Source organism: Homo sapiens, chromosome 4, assembly GCF_000001405.40.
Source record: "Homo sapiens chromosome 4, GRCh38.p14 Primary Assembly".
NCBI lineage: Eukaryota > Metazoa > Chordata > Mammalia > Primates > Hominidae > Homo > Homo sapiens.
The window spans coordinates 98,286,472-98,313,952 of NC_000004.12; the positions used below are offsets into that span (position 1 = coordinate 98,286,472).

The 27,481-nt window shown below is 35.1% G+C and overlaps 1 protein-coding gene across 10 annotated transcripts in view; it reads left to right on the top strand.

The window, feature by feature from the left end:
- The window catches only part of RAP1GDS1 (Rap1 GTPase-GDP dissociation stimulator 1), a 182,475-nt gene that overhangs the window by 25,088 nt on the left and 129,906 nt on the right, over positions 1-27,481 (top strand). For 5 of the 10 annotated variants that reach the window (NM_001100426.2, NM_021159.5, NM_001100428.2 and 2 more), the window contains exon 2: positions 6,934-7,044. In NM_001100426.2, coding sequence (NP_001093896.1) covers positions 6,934-7,044 — 111 coding nt within the window. Of the gene's footprint in view, positions 1-6,933; positions 7,045-10,446; positions 10,520-27,481 lie in introns of those variants that run through there. The other 5 variants (NM_001100427.2, XM_024454164.2, NM_001100429.2 and 2 more) reach the window with 2 other exon arrangements.

Sequence of the window (27,481 nt, forward strand, 5' to 3'; positions counted from 1 at the left end):
TATAGTTTAATATTGTAGTTGTGAAGATCATCTGTCAGATTCTTCACCCTCTCATCAAACATGACAAGTAAGACTAGAGTGTTTCTATTTCAGACTAAAATAGAGTTTTAATTCCATTTAAGAATGAATGAGGCCAGGCGCGGTGGCTAACGCCTATAATCCTAGCACTTTGGGAGGCCTAGGTGGGCAGATCACCTGAGGTCAGGAGTTCAAGACCAGCCTGGTCAACATGGTGAAACCCCGTGTCTACTAAAAATACAAAAAATTAGCTGGGCGTGGTGGCAGGTGCCTGTAATCCCAGCTGTTTGGGAGGCTGAGGCAGGAGAATCCCTTGAAACCAGGAGGTGGAGGTTGTAGTGAGCCAAGATCACGTCATTGCACTTCAGCCTGGGCAACGAGAGTGAAACTCCGTCTTAAAAAAAAAAAAAAAAAAAAAAAAGAATGAATGAAAAATTACTGCTTAGAAAATTTTTATCACATTTCTAAAATAGAGAAGATGACTTAGAGTGAAATAAAGTCATTGTTTTTAGTATAGCCCATTTTAATAAAAATATTTCTTAATCAAGACAGTTTGTGTCATAATTTCTAAAAAAACATGCCAGTGCAAGTAACTCAAAAGTAATGTAGGTTTTCAGGATTTACTAAATTTTCACTATAGTGAGTAGTATGAGTATCCTAGCATAATTTCCTGTCCTAGAGGAATTTTCAATCTAATAGTAGAACTATACAAGTAGGGTTCTATGTACCTAGAACTATAAAACTAACAAAATGAAAAATACAGAAAAAATAAAACTGTATAAAATTCTACAAAAATAATCTCATAAATAGATTACAAACTTATTGATGAAGTTTAATTTTGGGATTTAACCACTTGGTGTAGAGTTCAAACTGCTTGACTCACACATAGGACAGGTTGATTACATTCATATAAGCCCTTATATTTTATGAAATCTTGTAATGAATTATAATTAACCTGGAACAAAAGAGGTGTATCTAGTGGATAGATGTGTGTGTAAGTGGTGAATAGGCACAGAGTTACAATGTCATTGCAACCTGGAGAGTCATACTGGGAGCAAAGACCATGTATATGAATAGGTATGACTACATGTTAAAGTAATAAATTCATGGATTAAGGTAGAAGTTAGGTGTGTAACATTTATGAAATATAGTTTGGAGTTTTCATTAAATAGAATAGTTTTTAGCTCTTTTGTTTCTCTTCAAATATTAGAAATATTTCTAATTATCCAAGTACTGCATGAATTGCCTTTGAAATATTGCACACATGCACCTGAACAGTTACTTTTTTGCTCAGATATTTTTTTTTTCAGATCATGTGTACATAATGTATGTTCACAAAACATATTTAGTATTTAGGTACATTCCTGTTAGATCTTGCATCTGTGGAACTTCATCGTGGAAACTAATTTATCAAAGTAGCACATTCACATTAGTTTCATATTCTTTTTAATTTTCAATTTTATTGGGACCAAGTAATAATTATGAAGGTAGTGATAAATGATTAAACTTTAAATACTTTTTCTAAGCTCTCAGTTTTCTTATTTGTTTTTCTTTTTTTTACTATAAGTTTTAGGGTACATGTGCACAACATGCAGGTTTGTTACATATGTATACATGTGCCATGTTGGTGTGCTGTACCCATTAACTCGTCATTTAACAATAGGTATATCTCCTAATGCTATCCCTCCCCGCTACCCCCATCCCACAACAGGCCCCAGTGTGTGATGTTCCCCTTCCTGTGTCCATGTGTTCTCAGTGTTCAGTTCCCACCTATGAGTGAGAACATGCGGTGTTTGGTTTTTTGTCCTTGCCATAGTTTGCTGAGAATGATGGTTTCCAGCTTCATCCATGTTCCTACAAAGGACATGAACTCATCGTTTTTTATGGCTGCATAGTATTCCATGGTGTATATGTGCCACATTTTCTTAATCCCGTCTATCATTGTTGGACATTTGGGTTGGTTCCAAGTCTTTGCTATTGTGAATAGTGCCGCAGTAAACATACGTGTGCATGTGTCTTTATAGCAGCATGATTTATAATCCTTTGGGTATATACCCAGTAATGGGATTGCTGGGTCAAGTGGTATTTCTAGTTCTAGATCCCTGAGGAATCACCACACTGACTTCCACAATGGTTGAACTGGTTTACCGTCCCACCAACAGTGTAAAAGTGTTCCTGTTTCTTCACATCCTCTCGAGCACCTGTTGTTTCCTGACTTTTTAATGATCGCCATTCTAACTGGTGTGAGATGGTATCTCATTGTGGTTTTGATTTGCATTTCTCTTAAGGCCTAGTGATGATGAGCATTTTTTCATGTGTCTGTTGGCTGCATAAATGTCTTCTTTTGAGAAGTGTCTGTTTATATCTTAACAGCAAGCATCTGTAGCCGCAGCAGCAGTGAAGAGAAGCATGATTTTTTTTCATATCATTAGAAGTCAGTGAAATGGGGAATAACTGGAGAATTTGATTATAATACAGTAGTCCCCCTTTATCCACAGGGATATGTTCCAAGATCAAGAGGCATGATTTTTGTGCTTAAACTTTTTTAGCTTGCTAAGAAGTAAGATAATTTGAATGGTGACTGAATATGTGATAATTATACAAGGTAGCCCTTTTTTTACTGTAGATATGTCACCTACCCATGAAAATGGGACAACTTATTTAATTCTCAGCAATCACAAAATTCTAAAATCTTTTGGAATAAATTTAACATTAAAGAATCTATATAAAAATAGAAACTTTCATGTTTATCAAGGTATAAACAAAATGTGGGAGCCTAGAAAAGGAAGGTTCCTCTGACTGCAGGAATACAGAAAGCTTCATGCAAGACTTGGCATATTAGTTGACTTCGCCAAGTAAGTAGCCATGCTAGATGTGGAAAATGCACAGAAAGGAATTTTAGAAAAGAATTTAATTCTCACAATTGTGAAAATGAAAGTGTGCTTGGGAAAAAGCCAATAATGTGGTGGGACTGACACACATGATGTTGTGTGAGAAAGTAATGGGAGATGGCATAATGTGAGTTGTAAAAGTTTCTGATCGGTTTAGGACCAGCTCTGGTAAACAAAAAAAAAAAAAAAAAAAAAGAAAGAAAAGTAGGAAACTGAAAATACAACATAGTAAAACTGAAAATATTATAATTTTTAAACACAGTCCTTTCCACTTGACATGCTAACAGAAACTACTATTCCTACTTCATTAGAGAAGCTTTTAAAAATAGCTTCATTCTGTCAGATACTAAACCCTTTAGATAAGTAAAACATAATATTCAAGAGAGATTGCTATTATTTCCAGCTGCTAAGCCAGGTGCCCCAAATTGACTTAATGCCATTCATTTTGAGATAAACTTGAAATTCTTCCATTCATGCATTGGCTGTATTCTAGGTACTTGAAAACCACATTAGCACAGAAATATTTTTTTTTTTGGATTTGATGTGGATAGTGATGCTTTCAAAGTAAAGCTTTGTTACTAGATAGTTATGTGAAAATAATAGATACAGAAAAAAATTGAGTGACATTTGAAGTGAGGTAAAAATGTCTTGAACTTTTACAAGCTCAGTTAGCAGTTCTTGTGTACTTGTCTCCTGTCGGTTTTATCATCAGCAATGGTATAATTGTCCAAAGATAACAAACACATATCTATCTATATACCCATGTATCTACTTACTGGCATATAGTAAAGTGATAGAATTGATTAACATTTAAAAGTATGAAGTTTTAGATCCAATAACCTTGAAAATAAAGCTACCATTTCTGAATAATATTGTGAGGAAGATAAACTGAAAAATGCCACCACAAATAACATAAAGAATTTCATGACTTCCTAGTTTAACATGACACTGTCTTGAGATTTGTTCTTTGGGACAGTCCTTTCTTCACAGTCAAGTGTATTCTTTGTTGTTGGTGATGATCTTAAGTACTTTTATGGTCAAATTATTTAAATATTAAAACAGCATCACTTTCCTCATTAGTTTTTCTTAGATTGATGTTAAGAAAGGAACTGATAGCTAAAAATTTAGGTCTTATGAAAACTCTTCCATTGCAGCAAGTACTTACAGACCAGTAAATAATTTGTTTCTGGTTTATAGAAGAGAGGTTGGAGCATAAAGAGCCTCTGGTGCCTAAGATAAAAGAAAAAAAAGGCTTGGCAAAGTTTGAAGGTTTTAGTGGGAAAGTATAGCTGTTTGTCTTTAACAGAGACTTTTGAGAAATGCGAGGAATGATAGTTAGCTGTTCACGGTTACCAGAAGTTGCATCAGGTTTTATCCAAATGTATCAAGGCCTAAAATGTGGTAATTCTTTATATTGATAGGGACATAAAGCAAGTGGTCTGTCCAGCTGAATAAAAGAAGGGAGGACAGAAGGAAAGAGCATACCATCCTAATATTCTGAAGGGCATGCATATATTATTCAGGAAGAGAAGAGGCTCTGTGCACAACTGGGGTCACACTAATATTAAAGGGGCAGATAGAGAAGGAAGATCTATTGAAGAAGACCAAAAACAAGTGTTTAGACTGATGTTTCTAAGTTAAGAGGTGTTTCAGAAATGGAAAAACTGTCTATTGCTACAGAGATATCAAACAAGAGGATTGAGAAAAATTCATTGGCTTTGTCAAGATATCATTTAAAACCTTTGACAGAGTAATTTTGATAGGCTTTTAGAGGACTTGGTTAGATCAGGTTTTAAGGAGCGATTGAGTGGGTAAGAAGTGGGAGACTCAGAATTTTAATGACCAAGTCAACTTTGCTTTAACCCTTTGAAGATGTCACATATTTCACAAGACGAACTAGACCATATGTTGATATATAGGAAAGAAATTGTTTTAAGAAAAAATTTTATTTTATTTGTTAATACTTCTCCATTTCTATCTCTACTTACTGCCTCATTACCAGCCAGAGGCTGACAAATTTTCATTAGAACAATTTCAGTGCTTTTAAGGAAATGTAAAATACAGCTCTCTGGAATTACACAAAAAGTAATTTGGATGCTAAGGATTTACTACTGAAATTTACTGTCATGGTTTGAAGGAGTACAAAAATAATATCCTCTGTTTCTTACCCAAGCTTAGAACCACTGGAGATATAAGCATATGAGTCGTCTGCTAGAATTTAAAATATCTGCTTTAAAATTAATAAAGTCTAGAGTTAAGGCCTCTATTTGTAGAGTCACAATGGGATTACTAGTAATTTACTGCTGAATTATACATATTTACTCATTTTGTCACTGTACACCTGGACAGCCACAGGTGTAGAACAGAAAATTCTTGTTGTTTCTAAAATAACAGGAATGCAGAAGGGGTTGAGCCATACATGTCCAGTAGTCCTCAGCCTTAATCAGATAAATCAGATAAATCTTTCCTCTTCTGGAAAATGGAAGCTTTCATATTGTTTCGGCTTAGCAGGGCAACTAACCTTTAAGGAACTGCCAGGTGTCCAGTTTTAGTATATCAGTGAATATCCGCAATTATCTGAAAAGGCTGTTAAAATACTCACGTGTTTTCCAACTACGTATATATTGAGACTAAATTTTCTTCATCTATTCAAACCAAAACAGCATATTAACCAAGATTGAATACAGAAGAAGATACGAGAGTCCAGTCATCTTCTGTTGAACCACATTATGGAGATTTTTTTTTTTTCCTTTTTTTTTTTTAAGAGATAGGGTCTTGCTCTGCCACCCAGGTTAGAGTGCAGTGGAGCAATCCTAGCTCCCTGTAGACTCAAACTCCTCAGGCTTAAGTGATCCTCCCACTGCAGCCTCCTGAGTAGCTGGGAATACAGGCACATGCCACCATATGCAGTTAATTTTTTTATTTTTATTTTTCTTAGAGAAGAGGACTCACTTTGTTGCCCGGGCCGGTATCAAACTCCTAGCCTCAAGTGATCCTTCCACCTTGGCCTCCCAAAGTGATGGGATTACAGGCATGAGCCACCGGGCCTGGATGAAATTTCTAAAAATGTAAAACAATGCCTTATGTAAGTGATAGGTTGATGGGTGCAGCAAACCACCATGGCACATGTTTATGTAACAAAACTGTATGTTCTGCAGATGTAAGCCAGAACTTAAAGTATAATAAAAGAAAAAAAAAAAACAATGCTATTCTTCTTGCTAAATTTTTTTGTTAGGAAATAATTTTTTTCATTAAAATGCTAATTATGTTAATGTGCAGTAGGTTTATAATTGTTACATTTAAGTAAATTACTAAATAATTTTAAAAAGTCTCAGTTTTGATTTTGTAGTATGTTAAATGTCTATAGCAATAATATAAACAAAAGCTCTTTGGGATTCTCAATAACTTTTAATAGTGTAAAGAGGTTTTGAGAATCTGTGATCTAGAGGAATTCACATATAATTTAGGAAGAAAGCATAGCTTTATAATCCAAAATATGCATGTTAGGGCTTAAAGCAGTACTTTGATGTGAAGTATTTTTGAAATGACAGTGTAAGTTTTGTAGTTATCACACTTTGTATTATTTGGAATCATATTATTTTGAAATTTTTCTAAACCTTCATTTTTTATGTCTTTAATGTACAACAGAGGAAGTGAACAATGAAATAAAATGTTTGTAAAACTATATAATTTTTTATGAACATTTAATTTTTCTAAGCCATAGATGCTTTCCTGAACAAGCTCAATAAGTTATAAGAATATGGAAAAAAGATGTTCTTTGATAATATTTGGAATATTCCTGGTATCTTACACATAGCAGAATGAATATTTCATATCTGAGTTAAGTGAACAAAGTGCATTTAAAATTTTTTTAATAGTACAGTCTAATGCCATTTTGGAATGTACGTGGAGGTTAATTTGCTATTATAGGAAGCTCTCCAGTTTAGTGGTAACTGTTTATCCTTTTGTCATGTAACATATGGTGGTCATAAGGTTGAGTTTCTGATTTTTTTTTTTCTTTAAGCAGATAATCTCAGTGATACCTTGAAGAAGCTGAAGATAACAGCTGTTGACAAGACTGAGGATAGTTTAGAAGGATGCTTGGATTGTCTGCTTCAAGCCCTGGCTCAAAATAGTAAGTTTCATTATGTTTACTCAAATTCCAAAGAAGAAAATCAAATCAGTAGTCATTCAGAAACTGGTATGTAGTTAAGCACATAACTTTGTATTCATATAACTTGAATTCTTTTGAATCATATCCCTGAATACTGAGATTGTTTTACATGTTCTACCCTCCTACTTCCCTCCACGCCCCCGCAAGATCCTCAAAGCCAAGCTGATAGGCAAAGAAAGGAGGAATTGATGGGTGGTGATGACATTAATACCAGTCCCAGAGAGAGGCCATTGTTTCATTTCTAACAGTCAAGCATCGTAGTTGTTTTTCTTAGCACCTACATCTGTGCTTTAAAAATAGATTGTTTTATATGTGGGGAGAGTGGGGAGGGAGAGAGAGGAGAAACAGAGGGGGAGCTTAAAACACTTAACATTTTTTTGGAATCTTATCATATTTTAAAATAATTGTACCTTAAAATAATATGTATGCATAGATAAATTTGGAAGGAACCATTAGAAGTCATCAAAAATCTTTTGAAATTGGGGTAGGATTTTATCTTTGATGTGATAAATAATGCTAGAGATAGAAACTGCACAGTTCTTCATTGACCATTGTGTTGCATTTTATTTATCCTATTTCTAGTCACTAATTTCTGTATTATCACCATTAATAGATCAGTATAGAGTGATTTTCATTTGTTATCTTAATTCTGCTTGGTTGTGCTGTGGTTTTTTCTGTACTTGTTTTTAATTATGCTCTTGTCCTATCCTGAAACTAATTATGTAGCTGACAAAGAATGGAGGGGAACGTATATATTGTTAAGGTTTTAATTGTAAGGTTTCAACACTTATTGATATATGTTTTTTTTATTTTTTAGTAAACCTTGATTAGAAAAATCTAAAATAATTGATTGCAGTACTTTTCATCAAAAAAGCACATTTTAGAGCTAGCTTTTAAAATTATTTTTCAGTAATTATTTTAGATTACAACTGTCATGCTGTTTAATCATAGAGATAACAGGAAGAGATTTGAAACAAGGAGTTCAATAAGAGCATCCAGATAAGGCTCAAAATGGTAAAGAAAAAGGACAGGAAAGGAGAACGTCTAAGCCTGCTATCCATTTTAGTGGACACATGTGGCTATTTAAATTTAATACAAGTAAATAAAATGTAAAAGGAAGTTCCTTAGTCTCACTTCTCAGTAGTTATATTTGGCAGATGACCACTCTCTTGGGGATCACAGATATAAAATATTCCCATGATCACAGAAAATTCTTATGGATAGCACTGGTCTAGAAACTAGGAAGAACCACACGATGACCTGATTTTTTTTTACATGTGCCTGTATAGGCAGCTTTACACAGTAACATAATTAACCTAAGTAAATTGAGTATCTCAGGTATATTTTTTTGAACAGTTGTTTTATTATAACCTTCGTCTGTTTTCAGCAACACTTTTTTTCTCTGTTAGACAGTAAACTTTTAAATAGACCATTTGCTTTAGATACTGAAGGACATGAAGGGTCATATTCTTGGTCATCTGTAGAGGTTGCCCATTTGTCTCCTAGGAAGACTGGAAGACAAAGAGATGAAGTTGAAGGGAAATGAAGAAAAAAGGGAGTAAAAAGTGTATAGCTTTTAAAAGAACAGATTTAAGAAACACTGAGAAGTTCATAATTATTAGATTAAATTAGCTTACATTAGAATAAGCCCATTGCGGACTTATTCACTGTACCTTTTGTTGAAAATGGTCTTGTGAAATTGTGTATCACAAAATGTTAAGGCCACGTAACCACAAGGTATTAAAACAATAAACTCTCACCAATTTAACTAATGATGCCCCAGGAAGGGAACAAAAGGAATGTCTTGTTAACAATCTGAAACAAAATTTATAAATGCCCTCAAGCCTAAGACTACTGACAAAGAAGAATTGGAAAAAGGAGTTCATGCAGATGTTCAGTCTTTGACACCTGTCATTGGATCACTTACTGTATGTTTAGCACTGGGCTGGGGATTATAGCCACTATCTAATCTTTCCTATAGTCCCATGAGGTAGGTATTATTATCACCATTTAAAGGATGAGGTAACAGATTAATAAGCTTATTTGCCTTGCTCTGGAAGAAGCCAGAGTTTGGATTTGAACTCTTGATTTACAAAATAAAAAATTGTAATCTGAATAAAGTGAAGCTTTTTGCTGAGTTCATGTAATGTGAAATCATTCCAAGAAGCTAGGTTTTAACATTGTGTTTTAAATTTTTGTTTTTTCTTTAATAAAAATAGCTCTAAATTTTTATTAAAGTGGATAAGCCTGTTTTTCTTGAACTATAAAGTGATATATGTATTTTATAGGCATTTATTGATACACTTTATAAAGTCAGCATATGCCTTTTTAACAAGAAAAAGTAAAATATATTAGTGAGATGTTAATTTTCTACAGTTCTTCCTTGAATAAGGTGATTGAGCCATTGCTACTTCTGTCCTCCTAAATGTAAAATTATAAAACATTTAACTTAGAAGAATCTGTACTTGCTTTTTAAACAACAACAACAACAACAACAACAACAAAAACACAGAGAGCTTCTCGTTTCATAATTCTTCCTTAGTGTCAGGTGTTTTAACTAAAAATAACAACTGTACCATAATTGCACCTGATCAGGAAAGAAAGATTTCTCCATTCTGTACAAATATAAGATGGTAATGTATGTAATGGAAATATAAACAAAATTTTATTTTACAGTCTATTACCCTGTTACTGGAAAGGTTATCTCTGAAAGGAACAAAATAATGCTTTTGAAATTTTTACACTGTGTGATTTAGTGCATTTGAATTGCATATTACAAATGACTGTAATCTGAAATTAGAATTTTTACTTTGATGTATGGCTTTAGAGTGGTTTTCTTTTTTTACCATTGGCAGTATTTCTCTCTGTAACGTTTATACTATATGTGTCTATCTTAAGAGACAAGAAGATTTGAATACTTACTAGATTTTATGAAAACATTTTGTTTAAGCAAGCATTTTGTGTAAATCTATGATCTAAATTAATATAAAGTCATTCATTCACTCATATAAATACATCAGATCTCAGTTTTAAAATGTTTTTAGTAAATGTGTGAAGGCTACCAGCCAAGAAATCAGCTTCTGTTTATTTTGGTCTCTTTTGATTCAGATTATAGTTAGAAGATTCTCAGTAAATGCTTATTTGATTGTAGTATGGTTACTCTATTTTATGGTTATTTGGAAATGTAAAACAATAGGCCACCTATTTTCATCCCCAAACATTAAGACAGGAATTGTCTTTGGAGAATGTGGCATCTAAATCACCTTGCAAGAGAAACTATTAGTTTAAATTAAAGTCCCAAAGGCAAGAAAAATTAACATTCTATTTGTAATAAAAATTCTATCCATTTTATTCCATTTTGAGGATGAAGACCATTTTGTGTTGCCGGGGGGACCATAAAGTGTGCCATACAGCTTTAAACTCTCTCCCTGAAGAAGTAAGCTGTCTTCCCCTGCCTCGTTCTCTTTTTTTTTTTTTTGTATTTAACTTAGTTTCTTGCTTGATGGCAATTCCCATTTCATACGAGAGTCACGTAATTGTTTATTTTTTATAGAACAACTCTGTGAGATACTGCGTGTTTACTTGTCTTTAAAGAAAAAAAGCATTTAATGTCTAGTTCCACATCTCTAATCTTCTATGATAATATTCACTCACATGTTGAATTCTTGCTTTATTTTCTAGCCCTAAGGTAATTTGCTAGCCCTTGTTCTTTATTTCATTTGTTGTATTGATTTTTGGCTCCCTTCTAGGCTACAATGCTAAGCATACGTAATTATAGGCAAACTTCATTTTATTGTGCTTTACTTTATTGAGCTTCACAAATACTGTATTTTTTACAAATTGAAGGTTTATGGCAACCCTAAGTTGAGCAAGTCTTTCAGTGCCATTTTTCCAACACCTTGTGCTTACTTTGTGTATCTGTGTCACATTATGGTAATTCTTGCAACATTTCAGACATTATTATTATATCTACTTTGGTAATCTGTGTCAATGATCTTTGATGTTACTATTGTGATTGTTTTGGGGTGCCGTGAACCATGCCCATGTATGATGGTAAACTTAATTGATAAATATTGTGTCTGTCTGACTGCCCCACCAACTAGCTATGCCGTACCCCCTACTCCCCATCTCTATTCCTCTCCTCAGGCCTCCCTATTGCATGAGACACAATGTTTAATTTAGACCAATTAATAATCCTACAGTGGCCTGTAAGTGTTCCAGTGAAAGGAAGAGTCACATCTCTCTCACTTTATATCACAAGCTAGAAATGATTAAGCTTATTGAGGAAAGCATGTCGAAAGCGGAGGCAGGTTGAAAGCAAAGATAGGCCAAAAGCTAGGCTTCTTGAGCCAGTTAGCCAAGTTGTGAATGCAAAGGAAAAGTTCTTGAAGGAAATTAAAAGTTCTACTCCACTGAAAACATGAATGATAAGAAGTCTAAACAGCCTTATTACTGATAGGAAGAAACTTTGAGCGCTCTGGTTAGAGGATCATACTAGCCACAACATTCCCATGTCCTAATCCAGAGCAGGGCTCTGATTGTCTTCAGTTCTGAGAAGGCCGAGAGGTGAGGAGACTGCATTAAGAAAAGTTGGACACTAGCAGAGGTTGGTTCATGAGGTTTAAGGAAAGAAGTCATCTTCACAACACTGAAAGTGAAAGATGAAGCAGCAGCTGCTGATGGAGAAGCTGAAGCAAGTTACCCACAAGATCTAGCTAAAATCATTGATGAAGGAGGAGGCTGTGCTAAACAACAGATTTTCAGTATAGATGAAACAGCTTGGTATTGGAAGAGATGCCACCTAGGACTTTTATAACTAGGGTGGAGAGGTCAATGCCTGGCTTCAAAGGACAGGCTGACTCTCTTATTAGGGGCTAATGCAGCTGGTGACTTTAAGTTGAAGCCAGCATTCATTTACCATTCTGAAAATCCTGGGGCCCTTCAGAATGATGCTAAATTTCTCTGCCTGTTCTCTGAAAATGGAAAACAAAGTCTGGATGACAGCACATCTATTTACAGCATGGTTTACTGAATGTTTTAAGCCCACTGTTGAGACATACTGCTCAGAAAAAAAAGATCCCTTTCAAAATATTACTGCTCATTGACAATGCACCTGGTCACCCAAGAGCTCTGACGTACATGGAGATAAATGTTATTTTTGTGCCTGTTAACACAACATCCGTGGATGAAGGAATAATTTCGAAGCCTTATTATACATTTCATAAGGCTATAGCTGCCATAGATAGTGATTTCTTTGGTGGATTTGGGCAAACTAAATTGAAAACCTGGAAAGGATTTACCATTCTAGATGCCATTAAGAATATTCATGATTCATGGGAGAAGGTCAAAATATCAACTTTTTTTTTATTATACTTTAAGTTCTAGGGTACATGTGCACAACATGCAGGTTTGTTACATAGGTATACATGTGCCATGTTGGTTTGCTGCACCCATTAACTTGTCATTTACATTAGGTATTTCTCCTAATGCTATCCTTTCCCCAGCCCCCTACCCTACGACAGGCCCTGGTGTGTGATGTTCCCCCCGCTGTGTCCAAGTGTTCTCATTGTTCAATTCCCACCTATGAGTGAGAACATGCAGTGTTTGGTTTTCTGTCCTTGTGATAGTTTGCTCAGAATGATGGTTTCTAGCTTCTTCTGTATCCCTGCAAAGGAGATGAACTCATCCTTTTTTATGTCTGCATAGTATTCTATGGTGTATATGTGCCACATTTTCTTTATCTAGTCTATCATTGATGGACATTCAGATTGGTTCCAAGTCTTTGCTATTGTGAACAGTGCTGCAATAAACATACGTGTGCATGTGTCTTTATAGTAGCATGAAAATATCAACATTAACAGGAATTTGGAACAAGTTAATTCCCTCTATTATGGATGACTTTGAGTAGTTCAAAACCAGTGGATGAAGTAACTGTAGATGTGGTAGAAATAGCAGGAAAACTAGAATTAGAAGTGGCACTTCAAGATGTGACCGAATTGCTATAATCTCACGATAAAACTTGGGCAGATGAGGAGTCACTTCTTATAGATGAGAAAAGAAAGTGGTTTTTTTTTTTATTTGCTTTGGTTTTTTTTTTTGAGACAGAGTCTCACTCTGTCGCCCAGGCTGGAATGCAGTGGCACGATCTCAGCTCAGTGCAACCTCCACCTCCCAGGTTCAAGTGATTCTTCTGCTTCAGCCTCCCGAGCAGCTGGGACTACAGGCACGCGCCACCATGCCTGGCTGATTTTTGTGTTTTTAGTACCATATTGGCCAGGTTGGTCTCGAACTCCTGACCTTGTGATCCACCTGCCCCTGCCTCCCAAAGTACTAAGATTACAGACATGAGCCACTGCGCCTGGCCTCGAAAGTGGTTTTTTGAGATGGAATCTACTCCTGGTGAAGATGCTGTGAACATTGAAATGACACAAAGAATTTAGAATATTACATAAACGTAGTTGATAAAACATTGACAGGGTTTGAAAGAATTGACTCCAGGTTTTAAAGAAGTTCTATAGGTGAAATGCTATCGAACAGCATTGCATGCTACGGGTATCTTTTGTGAAAGGAAGAGTCAATCAGGATGATAAACTTTGTCTTATTTTAAGAAGTTGACATAGCCACCTAACCTTCAGCAACCAGCACCCTGATTAGGTGGTGGTTAGTCAGCAACATTCAGCATTGAGGAAAGATCATCCAGCAGCAAAAAGTTATGACTTACTGAAGGCTCAGATGATCGCTAGCATCTTTTAGCAATAAAATATTTTTTAAAGCAAGCTGTGTACATTGTTTCTTTAGACATAATGCTCTTGCACACTCAGTAGACTACAGTATAGTGTAGACAGAACTTTTTTTTTTTTTTTGAGGCGGAGTCTTGCACTGTCACGCAGGCTGGAGTGCAGTGGCACGATCTTGGCTCACTGCAACCTCCTCCTCCCATGTTCAAATGATTCTCCTGCCTCAGCCTCCTGAGTAGCTGGGATTACAGATGCCCACCACCACACCCAGCTAATTTTTTGTATTTTTAGTAGAGATGGTGTTTCCCCATGTTGGCCAGGTTGGTCTTAAACTCCTGACCTCAGGTGATCCACCTTCCTTGGCCTCCCAAACTGCTAGGATTACAAGCATGAGCCACCGTGCCCAGCCTGTAGACATAACATTTATATCTATTGGGAAACCAAAAAACAAAAAACAAACAAACAAAAAAAACTGGTGTGATTTGCTTTATAGTCACTTTATTGAAGTGATTTGGAACCAAACTCACAATATCTCTGAGGTATGCCTTTATGTACAGAAGGTGTTAATCTAGATTACTCCATGAGTCTTGTCTAGCAGTAAAAACTTTTGTTGTCATTTGCTTTAGTCAGCTTTATGCATTTACTATTTTTGAACAGACTTACTTTCAGGTAGCAAAGTTACTTCCTAAGTAAGAGAGTTCTTATTATCAACTGTTTTTTTTTTCCTGTATTTGCAATCTCTGAACATACTCCTGCTGTTTTAGTAGAGATGAAAAATTATTATTTTATTCTTTCATAGTAGTATCTTGAAGAGATTTTTACCTTTTTATCTAGTGTTATCAAATGTTCCACAGAAGTGATGTATTTCTTTTGCGAACTGAATTCATTATTATTATTTTTTTTTACCTTCTTTACTTTTTTTCATATTGTATACCTCTTTTAGTGATTGTGTTCATTGTCCATGAGGGCTTAGCACTGGTGCTCCTTATGAAGTAGTGAAGATTCAGTTTTTACCAAATAAAGACAGCATTTGGAGAATATAGGAGATTCTCAACTAAAGTGTCAACTAAAAAGACATTGACAATTCCTGATGGGTTGAGACTCCTGGATTGCCATAGGATGGTGGTGGCCTCCTAAATCTGTATCTTTCCATGCATTCTCTAAAAGTCCACACAGATCCACAAAGAGATAAAACCAACTAACAATATTCTTTGTCTCCAGCATAACTAGGAGACAGACTTCAAATTATTACAGAGATAAATAAATATCCAAATCTAGCCTACTCAGCTTCAGAGACCACTGCAGGGAGAGTTAAGACTCCAGAGACCACATGGACAAGAGGAGAGGGAAATGGGGAACCAGGAGCCCAAGGGTAATAGCACACAATGAAAATTACCTTTAGAAAGAAAAAAATTCCTACCCTAGTAGGAAAATAGTGCGATCTGGTCTTAGATTAGATTCTAACATTGGCTACTTAAAAGTGCATGGACTCCAGGTGACAGGTCAGGAAAGCACCACTTTGGGGATGGAGTTGTTCACCTTTATATACTTGGTGATGAAAAGAAAGAAGCAAGAGGGAGAAATGAAGTGTTCTGTAGAAATAAGGAAACCACAAAATCAGAAGACATACTAATTACCCCACTTTGGTCTCAGTTCAGAAGAGGGAGCATTTGAACTAAAAATCCTGGATATTTATCCCAAATTGTTGCCCTTACTGCATTCAATTTTTATTACTAGTCAAGGAAAATAAAAAATTATACACTGAATAGGAAATTTCAGATAAGATACATACATAGGTGCTACAAAAAAGAAAGCAGAAAATAAGAATAAAAACATTTTAGCTATTAAAAATTTTCCATCTAAGCCATCTGTGTTGCAGTTATCATTAACAGAACACCATGACCTATATTAAATATTCTTAAATAAGCCTTTGCAGATATGAAGAGAAGAAACCTTCAAGTTATAAATTCAGAAACTTAGAACCAAAGTGAACACCAGGAAGATGTGAAACTAGAGTTGACCAGAAGAAATTGAAGAAAATGACAAAATTGCTTTAAAAATTAAGACTAAATTTCAAGGTGCCCAAGGAAGAATAGAGGTGATTGAAAATTTAAAAAGGGGCATTGAGGAAAGAGATGCAAACAGGCAACTGAGAAGACAAAGGATCAGAGAAAAGATTATAATACAGAAGATAGTCAAAAAGATCCAACATACATGCAATTGGAATTCAGAAGAAGGAAAACAAAATGGTGAAACAGAGATAGTATTTAAAAGTACAAAGTTTCTAAAAGTAAAGGAAGACCAGAATCTGTTTTTTGAAAGGGCCCACCATATACTTGTGAAAATTGACCTGAAACAGTCAACTGAAAGACATAGTGTAGGAAAACTTTTAGACTTTAAAGATAAAAACAAATACAGAGGAAAAAATCCTCAAGGCCTCCATGCAAAAATATTATTTACAAAGGAAAGAAAGGCCAGGCATGGTGACCCACACCTGTAATCCCAGCACTTTGGGAGGCCAAGGTGGGCGGATCACTTGAGGTCAGGAGTTGGAGACCAGCCTGGCCAATATGGCAAAACCTCGTCTCTACTAAAAATACAAAAATTAGCCGAGTCTGGTCATGCATGCCTGTAATCCTAGCTACCTGGGAGGCTGAGGCATGAGAATTGCTTGAGCCCGGGAGACGGAGGTTGCAGTGAGCAGAGATTGCGTGACTGCACTCTAGCCTGGGCGGTAGAGCAAGACTCAGTCTCAAATAAAAAAAAAAAAAAAGAGGAAAGAAAGTCAGATTAGCATCAGACGTCCACATAGCAATACAGAATTCAATAGTGGTGCAGTATTTTCAGGTAACTGAAGGAATAAGAATTTTATATTGAACCAAGCTGCCCAGTAAAAATCAAAGCTGTAGAAGAATCCTGTTAAAGATAGAAGAATCAAGGGAATACTGTACTCTTTGCCTTCTAGAAGAATCTTCTTAAACTTGCACTGTTTAATACAGTAGTCACTCTTCAACATGGCTGTTGAGCATTTGAAATGAAGCTAGTCTAAATTGAGATGTGTTGTACATCTAAAAAACATACAAAATTTCAAAGACTTAGTACAAATTAAAAAATGTAAAATAGTCATTAATAGTTTTAGAAATATTGATTATATATTAAATCTTATTTTAAAAATTTTGTGAAATATTTACAAATGCTTTGTTTCTGCTGAAGCTTTATAGGCCAGCATTTCTTGGATTGTGGGTAGTAGCTGATCAAAGTGCTTATAAGACTTGGGCCAGTCAGTGTGATATGATGGAAAATGCAGGTTAGAAGAAAATAATAAGTAAATTAATAATAATATAATATAATATAATATAATATAATATAATATAATTGGGGTATTCAGTATAGGAAGAGAACTTTTTAAAAAAAATTATTTTAAGTTCTGGAATACATGTGCAGGGCATGCAGGTTTGTTACATAGGTGAATGTGTGCCATGGTAGTTTGCTGCACCTATCAACCCTTCACCTAGGTATTAAGCCCCACATGCATTAGCTGTTTATCCTGATGCTCTCCCTCCCCATAACCCCCTCTACAGACCCCATTGTGTGGTGTTCCCCTTCCTGTGTCCATGTGTTTTCTTTGTTCAGCTCCCACTTATAAGTAAGAACATGCAGTGTTTGGGCTGCTGTTCCTGTGATAGTTTGTTGAGGATAATGGCTTCCAGCTCCATCCATGTCCCTACAAAGGACATGATCTAATTCCTTTTTATGGCTGCATAGTATTCCATGGTGTATATCTACCACATTTCCAGTCTATCATTGATGGGCATTTGGGTTGGTTCCATGTCTTTGCTATTGTGAACAGTGCTGCAGTGAATGTACACGTGCATGTATCTTTATAATAGAATGACTTATATTCCTTTGGGTATATACCCAGTAATGGGATTGCTGGGTCAAATGGTATTTCTGGTTCCAGATCTTTGAGGAATCAGCACCCTGTCTTCCACAATGGTTGAACTAATTCACATTCCCACCAACAGTGTAAAAGTGTTCCTATTTCTCCACAGCCTTGCCAGCATCTGTTGTTCCTTGACTTTTTAGTAATCACCATTCTGACTGGCTTGAGATGGTATCTCATTGTGGTTTTGATTTGCATTTCTCTAATGATCAGTGATGTTGAGCTTTTTTTTCCTGTTTGTTGGCCGCATAAGTGTCTTCTTTTGAGAAGTATATGTTCATGTCCTTTGCCCACTTTTAAATGGGGTTGTTTTTTTCTTGTAAATTCGTTTGTAGTTCCTTGTAAATTCTGGATATTAGACCTTTGTCAGATGGATAGATTTTGAAAATGTTTTCCCATTCTGTAGGTGGTCAGTTCACTCCGATGGTAGTTTCTTTTGCTGCGCAAAAGCTCTTTAGTTTAATTAGATCCCATTTGTCAATTTTTGCTTTTGTTGCAATTGCTTTTGATGTTTTTGTTATGAAATCTTTCCCCTTGTCTATGTTCTGAATGATGTTGCGTAGATTTTCTTCTAGGGTTTCATAGTTTGGGGTTTTACATTTTTAAGTCTTTATTCCATCTTGAGTTAATTTTTGTATAGGGTGTAAGGAAGGGGTCCAGGTTCAATTTTTTGCATATAGCTAGCCAGTTTTCCCAGCACGATTTATTAAATAGGGAATCCTTGTCGAAGAGCAGATGGTTCTAGATGTGTGGTCTTATTTCTGAGATCTCTGTTCTGTCTTATTGGTCTGTGTGTCTGTTTTTGTACCAGTACCATGCTGTTTTGGTTACTGTAGCCTTGTAGTATAGTTTGAATTTGGGTAGCATGACGCCTCTAGCTTTGTTCTTTTTGCTTAGGATTGTCTTGGCTATACAGGCTCTTTTTTGATTCCATATGAATTTTAAAGTAGTTTTTTTCTAATTCTGTGAAGAATGTCAAATGGTAGTTTAATGGGAATAGCACTGAATTTATAAATTACTTTGGGCAGTATGGCCGTTTTCATGCTAATTGATTCTTCCTATCCATGAGCATGCAATGTTTTTCCATTTGTTTATGTCTTCTCTGATTTCCTTGAGCAGTCATTTGTAGTTTGGTAGAGAACATTTTTAAAGGAACCTTAGGTTCATTATTCTAGGGTTACATTCTAAGGAGAAGGCTGTATATAGGGTCTAAAATATGTCCTATGTGCTTAATCTAAAAGCAGAGATTAAAAGGAGAGAACAGTGTGTATCCAAATATATTCTTACCTAGGAGTTTATAGAAAAGGGAGCATGGAAAGGCTTGAATCTGGGAGAGTGAGAAAGACCATCTTAAAATCAATCTCTCACAAGCCATGAGATTAGTAACAGAAACAAGATGTATAACAGTGATACTGGGTGCTGTTTGCCTTCCGATATGCTCTGAAGCACTGTACTTTATAAAAGGCAAAAAAGGACTCTCATGTTGTGCAGTTGCCAGAAGGATATAAATCTCCATTGGTATTTGTAGTTGGTGATTGAAGCCTTGGCAGAAGATCTGGGTTTGCTAACATTAGCTAATGAATGTTACCATTTTTGCTTCTTAAGTTTGCTACATTTGAAAAACTTTTTATGTTCCTAACACAGAGAAAATGTGTAAGAGAGAAATGTGATTTGAAATGATGCTGTATGCCAAATACATACTGAAGAAGATTTGCCAGTCTCAGTATTTATAGTACCAGTACTGATTTACTATAACTAAGGACTACACTTTAAATTATACTTGGGGAAAAAGAGATGAATTTGTTCTGCTGTGTCTTTCTAACATTATTTTTCATCAGGGTTCCATGTCACTGCACCTATAGCCAGCTGTGGGAGTAGTCTGTGGACATATAATTGATTGAAGTTAACTGTCTTCTCTAATCGTATAAGCAGTAACCCAATGTGTCCATCCATTTGTGCTGTTATAACAGAATACCACACACCGGCTATATTACAAATAGTAGAGATTTATATTTCTCCCTGTTATGGAGGCTGAGAAGTCCAAGATCAAGGTGCTGGTAGGTTCAGAGTCCGGTGACATGCCATACCTCATTGATGGTACCTTTTTGATGGCACCTTGTTACTGCATTCTCACATGACAGAAGGTGGAAGGGAAGGAGAGCGAGAGAGCGAGGCAGCTCTCTGAAGCCTCTTTTATAATGGCATTAATCCATTATAAAGTCCTCACCTCATACTACTGTCATATTGGGGATTAAGTTTTAATACATGACTTTTGGGTGGGACACAACATTTAAACCACAGCACCCACTATGTCCTGAATGTGTTCAAGAATATAAGACATGTAAATTGGCATTTTAATTGATACAATGAATTGGAAATGAATTAATATTAGTATCTGAATAAGAATTATGTATTCTCAACAGAAAGCTAGTTTGATACAAAGAAAATAGCTTTAAGTAATAAATAGATTAGATAAATGTGTTTTCATTATCTTTACTGTGATTGTAGATGTTTGAATTTGAAATTAAAGGCAAGGGTAGTATCATGCTACTTTTTACTTCAGTAGTGCTTGAAAGTCCAAGTGGGTTCTATTCGCTCTAGAAAGCTTTCTTACATCGTCTAAATGCTTTCATTTTTACCTCTTTTCAGATTTTCTGAATACCCACTTGGCATTGTAAAACAGAGAAGATTAAGGTTTCATCATTAGGTTTCATCATTAGGTATACATTGGAATCTATAATGAGACATTTTTTGGAAATAATAAAATTTAGTGAATCATTTTTTTCTAATGGAAGCTTCTTTGTAAAATATATGTCTTCTTATTATAATTAATTTATTTGTACTGTATTTAAAAATTTATTTTAACATATGGTACATGTGAGGACTTAATTGTATTTTTTTTTTAGATAATCAATTTTCCTAATACAATGTGTTGTTTAATCTGTTCCTTATACATATTTCTATCATGGAATAACCATTTAGTTTAATATAATTGCATCAGTGTCTGAGTTTTTTTCTGTCCCATTAATCTGTTTGTCTAATATTGTGCTGTTACCTTACCATGCTATTTTAATTATGGTAGCTTTATGGAGGAAGTTTCCTATTATAAATTTATTTTTGAAAAATTGTTATTGTTTTCATGGGTTTGTTATATCAGAAATTTTGTAAATACTTTGTCATGTTTCTGAAAAATCCTATTGGAATTGTAATAAGTCATAAATTAATTTGGGGAGAATTGAAAACTTCTCAATATTTTGTCTGCCAATCTAAGGGCATAGATTGTATCTTCTCTTATTCTAATCTTCTTTTTATGTCTCAGTAAGATTAGGTAGTTTGGTTCATATGCTTTCCATACATTACTTTTTAAAAATATTCCTTTGTATTTTGCATTTTTGTTGTTGCGTATGGATTTTTTCTGTATAACTTCTAAGTGATTATTGTTAGAGATTATTGTGAAAGATGTCTTGATTTTTATATTTTTGTATGTATTCAGCCACCTTCTGTTCTTCATTAAAATGAATTTTTAGCTAATTCTCTTAGGTTTTGCAATCAGAACATCTACAAAGTGATACTTTTGTTTCCTCTTGCCCTTATAACTAAAGCCGACTTACTGTATTGGGTTAAGCTTCCAGTGAAATAGTAAATAACAGTGATATGGTTAGCACCATATTTTAGTTTCCGATACTGATGGTATGGCCCTTCTGATGTTTCACCATTAAATATAACATCTCTTGATTTTTATGTAAAAGTTCTTTTTCAGTTTAAGAAAATAATAAGGCCGGGCACAGTGGCTCATACCTGTAATCCCTGCATTTTGGGAGGCTCACGCAGGAGGATTGCTTGAAGTGAGGAGTTTGAGACTAGCCTGGGCAGTAAATAAAGACAGCATCTCTATCAAAGAATATATATATGTGTGTATATATGTGTGTGTGTGTGTGTATGTATGTGTATGGGTGTGTGTATATGTGTGCGTGTATATAGGTATATACATATATGTGCATATATGTGTATATACATGTATATATACACACACACCCACACACATATATATACACACACACACTATATATATATATATATATATATATATATATATATGCGCCAGGCATGGTGGTGTGTCTCTCTATTCCCAGCTATGTGGAAGGCTGATGCTCAAGCATAGAAGTTTGAGGCTGCAGTGAGCCATGATTGTGCCACTGCACTCTAGCCTACGTGACAGAACAAGACCCTGTCTCAGAAAGAAAGGAAAATAAAGAACAATTTCTTTAAAAACAAAAAGATTTTAAACCACAAATTTTTTGCCGAATTAATGTGTTGAAAGTAGTCTCTACCATTTTATTGCTATAAAGCTTGTTTATAATAAAATTATTTGTTGAGAGCATTAATAATAAGGGAACCTTTTCATAAGAAGGAAAATACAACAAAGTTTTATAATCTTTGAATCAAGGTCATGCAGTATACTAGTGAAGTTCAGTATAATTTACATCCTCCTTTGTGTATTCAGGGACAAATATTTATCTAATGAGAATTAGTATGTAAAGAATGATTGGAATTAATGACATGAATGTGTATATCTTAGAAAAAATGACTATTAAAACATCTGACAAACATAGGAGATTTCTTAATCTAGTAATGTATAGTTTCAAAAGTTTTCAAAGCTACATTCAATAAAGCATTGCTTTTACCACCAGAAAATTGTTTACACTTACAAGGTCGTATTATATCAGCCTTTAAAGTATATCTGTGTGCCTTTAAATTAATAAGTATTCATTTATTTGTTTATATTATTCAGCCCTGAAAATGTGAACTTAATTGCTTATGATTTCAGTTACTTTAAAAAATGTAGTTTTACACAGATTCACATATTGAGTGCGTGATGCCAAATGAATTTTGGTGTTTCAAGATTTAATAATATATGAATAGAAATTTTTAATAAATTAGAACAAAATTTTTAAAATACTTGGCCTTAAAGACTGTTTTTGTGGCCCTAGAGGAAAAGAGAAACACATTTAACCGGAAAAAGAGGTAATTGAAGTAAATTCTTCTCCTTTGGGAAGAATTTTGTATGAATCTTAATTCACACAAATCTGTAATTTATCCATTATGTTAAATTGGAAGAGATATTACACCATGGGAATTTGTTTTATACCAAATTTATAAATCTGTTATTTCATTTTTTATTTTTACTCATTTATGTACTGTAATTTTCACTTTTTGAATTATGAATATATGTGAATATGCATGACCAAATGTAAAATTGTTGAAATAGGAAGAATAATGGAAATATTAAATACAAAATAGAGAGTAAAAGATTAGCTCTTGGCTCTAAGTAGTCAAGGTAAGGGAAGGATAGCCAAGAAATGGAAATGATCCCAAATTTAAAAAGAATTTGTAGAAGCACATTAAAAATATATAGATTCTAGTTGAAGAAATATAGTTGTCAGAAATATATCTTCTTAATTGAATATAAAATACTACGTTGTTTTCTATTTGCTATACAAGAGTATCTTGAAAATGCCATATTCTTAATTTTGTGTGGTTCATGGTCATTTTATTCTCTCTTAAATCTCTAATAATTGAAGAAATGTGAATATTTCATGTTTTTAGTAAGGTAGGGTTCAGGTATAATTTTCTAGGGTAATATATGTATATACATATATATATAATGGGTTATATAATTAAGAGTCTTTATTTGAGTTAACTTTTTAAAAAAGAAGTTCACTTACTAAATGTAGGTCGACTCATTAGAATAGTTGGTGAGTATTCAAACAGAATTGAGCTCATACTGTTGTGCTATGTCATACTGCTGTTAAATACTTAGTTTAACGTATAACATAAATGTTAAATACTTCATTTAATCATAGATTGGGAGCATTTTATACAGTTATATCATGCTTTGATGAGGTAAGATTTAGACTATACACCCCTCCATCTTCAGGTCTCATTCATTCATTTATTCCACACTTAGTATTTATTTAGTATGTGCCAAACATTGTGCTATCTCACAATAATGACAGAAGCTTATTTCTTTTGTGGAGTAGAGACTGATAGATAAATGTTAAATTATAATTTATCATAATAAGTGCTATCATAGGGGAATGTTCAGTGTCTACACTAGATCTTAGCCAGAGGGCTGAGAAGCAATGAGGTATGTTCAGTACCTAGTGGGACTACATATTTACTGACCTTAAAGTAAAAATTGCAATGTCAAATCAAAAGGGAATAATCATAAAATAATGAAGGACAAAAGGAAATGATCTGATTCCAGTACTTAATTCAGCTTATTAAAAGTTCAAATCTTTGATTTTTGATTGAATTCGTTCTTTAAAAAATTGTTTTAGAAGACACCAGAAGTACTGCATGTAAAGCAGAATGAACTAATTTATATTGTATTATACTCTGAATTACTCTGATAATATGCATGCTGATGTTCTTGGATCATGTACCAGTCTTTGAATAACAAGTTCTAGATGTATGCCATCCAGTCTAGTAGCCACCAAGCCACATATGGTTATTGAGCACTTGAACGGCAAAGTTGAAATTGAGATAAACTATAATCTCAAAGACTTATTGCTAAAAAAAAAAGATTTAATTTTTATATTGATCAAAACTTAATTTTATCTGTTTCTTTTTACCTTTTTAAATATTGCTGCTAGAAAATATAAAGTTATATGTGTGGCTCACTTTATATTTCCCTTGGACAGCCATGGCTCACACAAATGCTTCTCAAATTTTAGGCTGCATAAAATTATTTGGAAAGATTGTTAAATCGTAAATACTTAGGCCCTATCCCCAGAGACTCTGATTCAGTAGTTTTGGGGTGGGGCTCAGGAATTTGCATTTCTAATAATTTTCTAGAGGATGCCAATATGCTAATTTATGGATGGCACTTTAAACCATAAGGTTTTAATGTAGACAGTATCTTTTCAGTGGGTTGAAAAGAATGCTGCCTGGGATGAATCAAAAGCAATACCAGTTTTCACACAATTTGTTATCGGGTCTAATCTGTAAATAAGATACTGTCATACTGTCTAGAGGAATATAAATGTAAGCATTTTGCTAGGCCTCTGAAGAAAAAATGTGGAATTTTGTCAAAGACTCTTAAGTATTTTTTAAAATAAGTATGTGTTTGTTGTTTTTACTTCTTGTAAAGAGAAAAGAAAATAACTCTGTAAAATGGGAAAGTAAGACCTAGTTTGTCATTTCCAAGACAACAGAATTTACTTACATTCTAAACAAAGGAGGGGGAGAACACCGTAGGAAAAATCTTACATACCTATGAAGGTCCCATCGTGTGTGACATTGGAGAGAGATCTTTTACTTAAAGTATTTGCTTTTTCTTATTTTCTTGTCACAGATACATATGATAAGAAATATATATGTATATTTATGTGTGTGTGCACATGTATGTGTGTGTTTTGAGACAGGGTTTTGCTTTGTCACCCAGGCTGGAGTGCAGTAGTGGGATCCATGCTCACGGCAGCGTTGAACCCCCGCACTCAAGCAGTCCTCCCACCTCAGCTTCCTGAATAGCTAGGATTGCAGGCATACTTCACCATGTCCAACTAATTTATTTTTACTTTTTGTATACATGGGGTCTCACTATGTTGTCCAGGCTGGTCTCAAACTTCTGGCCTCAAGCAGTCCTTCTGCTTCAGCCTCCCAAACCGTAGGGTTAGCAGGCATGAGCCACTGCAGTTAGCTTCATTTTTATGTTCTTAAAAACAATTAGGCAGGGGACAATGAAATTGGAATGAGGAGTAAGATAAGGCAGCAAGAAATCAGAGTGACAGGAGGAAGAAGATAGAGGATGGTAAATAATGGAAAGCAGTGAGGAGATAGATGATTTTACTAAAGTTGGGGAACAAGGCTTATGGTTTCTTCTACTATGATACTTGTAGACCTGTTTAGCTCACTATTCTCAGGGCCAGGGGAAGCATTTTAATAATAGTATCATCTAATTTTGCAATTCATGAACACCTTAGTAACCCAGTCTCCAGCTAATAATTCTGTTTCATCCTTACCAAATAGCCCTTATGAAGAGGGAATCTTTCATCATTCTTTATGAGGGGATCTGTTTCATTTTTTCATAGCCCTAAGACTGGAAGACACTTTTTAATGTTGATCCCTAATCATCTTTCTGTCAGCTGCTGCTCATTGGTCCTATTTCTAGCTCCTAGATAAACATACAATGTGCTTTCTCCCTAACAAATCCTCTGTATTTGGTGATAACTGTCATATTCCTTATTTCCTGAGCTGGCCCTCATATGATGACAAGGAGACAGTAGATTGTAGGGCAGAGGTTGATACTATTTTTTTCTAATATTTGTGTGGTACGTTTGTGTTCTTACTTGGAAATCTTTGTTGGGAGGGCTAAGATGATCCTCTTTTCTAGGAGCAGTGGTATATTAGGGTTCTTCAGAGATATAGAACCAATGGAATGTGTGTGTGCATGTGTGTATGTGTATGTTTGTGTAGCTATACATAGATGTATAGATATATATATATAGAGAGAGAAATAGGTATGGGCGGGGGGAGAGAGATTTATTTAAGGGCTGGTCACGGTGGCTCACGCCTGTAATCCCAGCACTTTGGGAGGCTGAGGCGGGTGGATCGCAAGGTCAGGAGATCGAGACCATCCTGGCTAACATGGGGAAACCCCGTCTCTAGTAAAAGTACAAAAAATTAGTCGGGCGAGGTGGCAGGCGCCTGTAGTCCCAGCTGCTCTGGAGACTGAGGCAGGAGAATGGCATGAACTTGGGAGGTGGAACTTGCAGTGAGCCGAGATCACACCACTGCACTCCAGCCTGGGTGACAGAGCAAGACTCTGTCTCAAAAAAAAAAAAAAAAAAAAAAAAAAAAAGAAATTGGCTCATGCAATTATGGGGGTTGCAAGTCCAAATCTGCAATGTGGGTTGTCAGGTTGGAGACCTAGGGAAGGGCTGATGCTGCAGTTCAACTCTGAAGACTGTCTGTTAGCAGAATTTCTTCTTATTTGGGTAAGGTGTGTTGTTTATTCTGTTCAGTTCTTCAACTGATAGGGCACAATGTCCCACATAAAGAGCAAATCTGCTTTACTGAAAACCTACTGATTTAAATGTTCATCTTATCCAAAAACACCTTCACAGACAGAGACATCCAAAATAATGTTTGGCCAAATGCCTGGGCACTGTAGCCCAGCTAATTGATAGAAAATTAACCATCAGAAGTGGAATATACATTTCTAGGTATCAAGATGGATTGTATTGTACAATAGTTATATGTTGGGATAACTGCTAGTGAGGAATACCTTAGCATTAGAACTTTACACACAAGAAGCTACAGTTGGGCCTGGTGTGGTAGCTCACAGCTGTAATCCCAGCACTTTGGGAGGCTGAGGCCAGGAGGATCATTTGAGCCCAGGAGTTCAAGATCAGCCTGGGCAACATAGTGAGACCTCATCGCCACAAAAAAATTTAAAACATTGGCCAGGCATGGTGGCAGGTGCCTGTGGTCCCATCTACTTGGGAGGCCGAGGTGAGAGGATCACTTCGGCCCAGGAGGTCGAGGGTGTAGTAAGCCATGATCATGCCACTGCACTCCATCCTGAGCAACAGAGCAAGACCGTGTCTCAAGAAAAAGTAAGAATCACGATCATGTCCTACTTTTTAATATTCATTGAAATAAACCTCACAAGGAGGCTCCAAAAGGCAGAGAAATTGGGTCGTTGTTTTGTTTC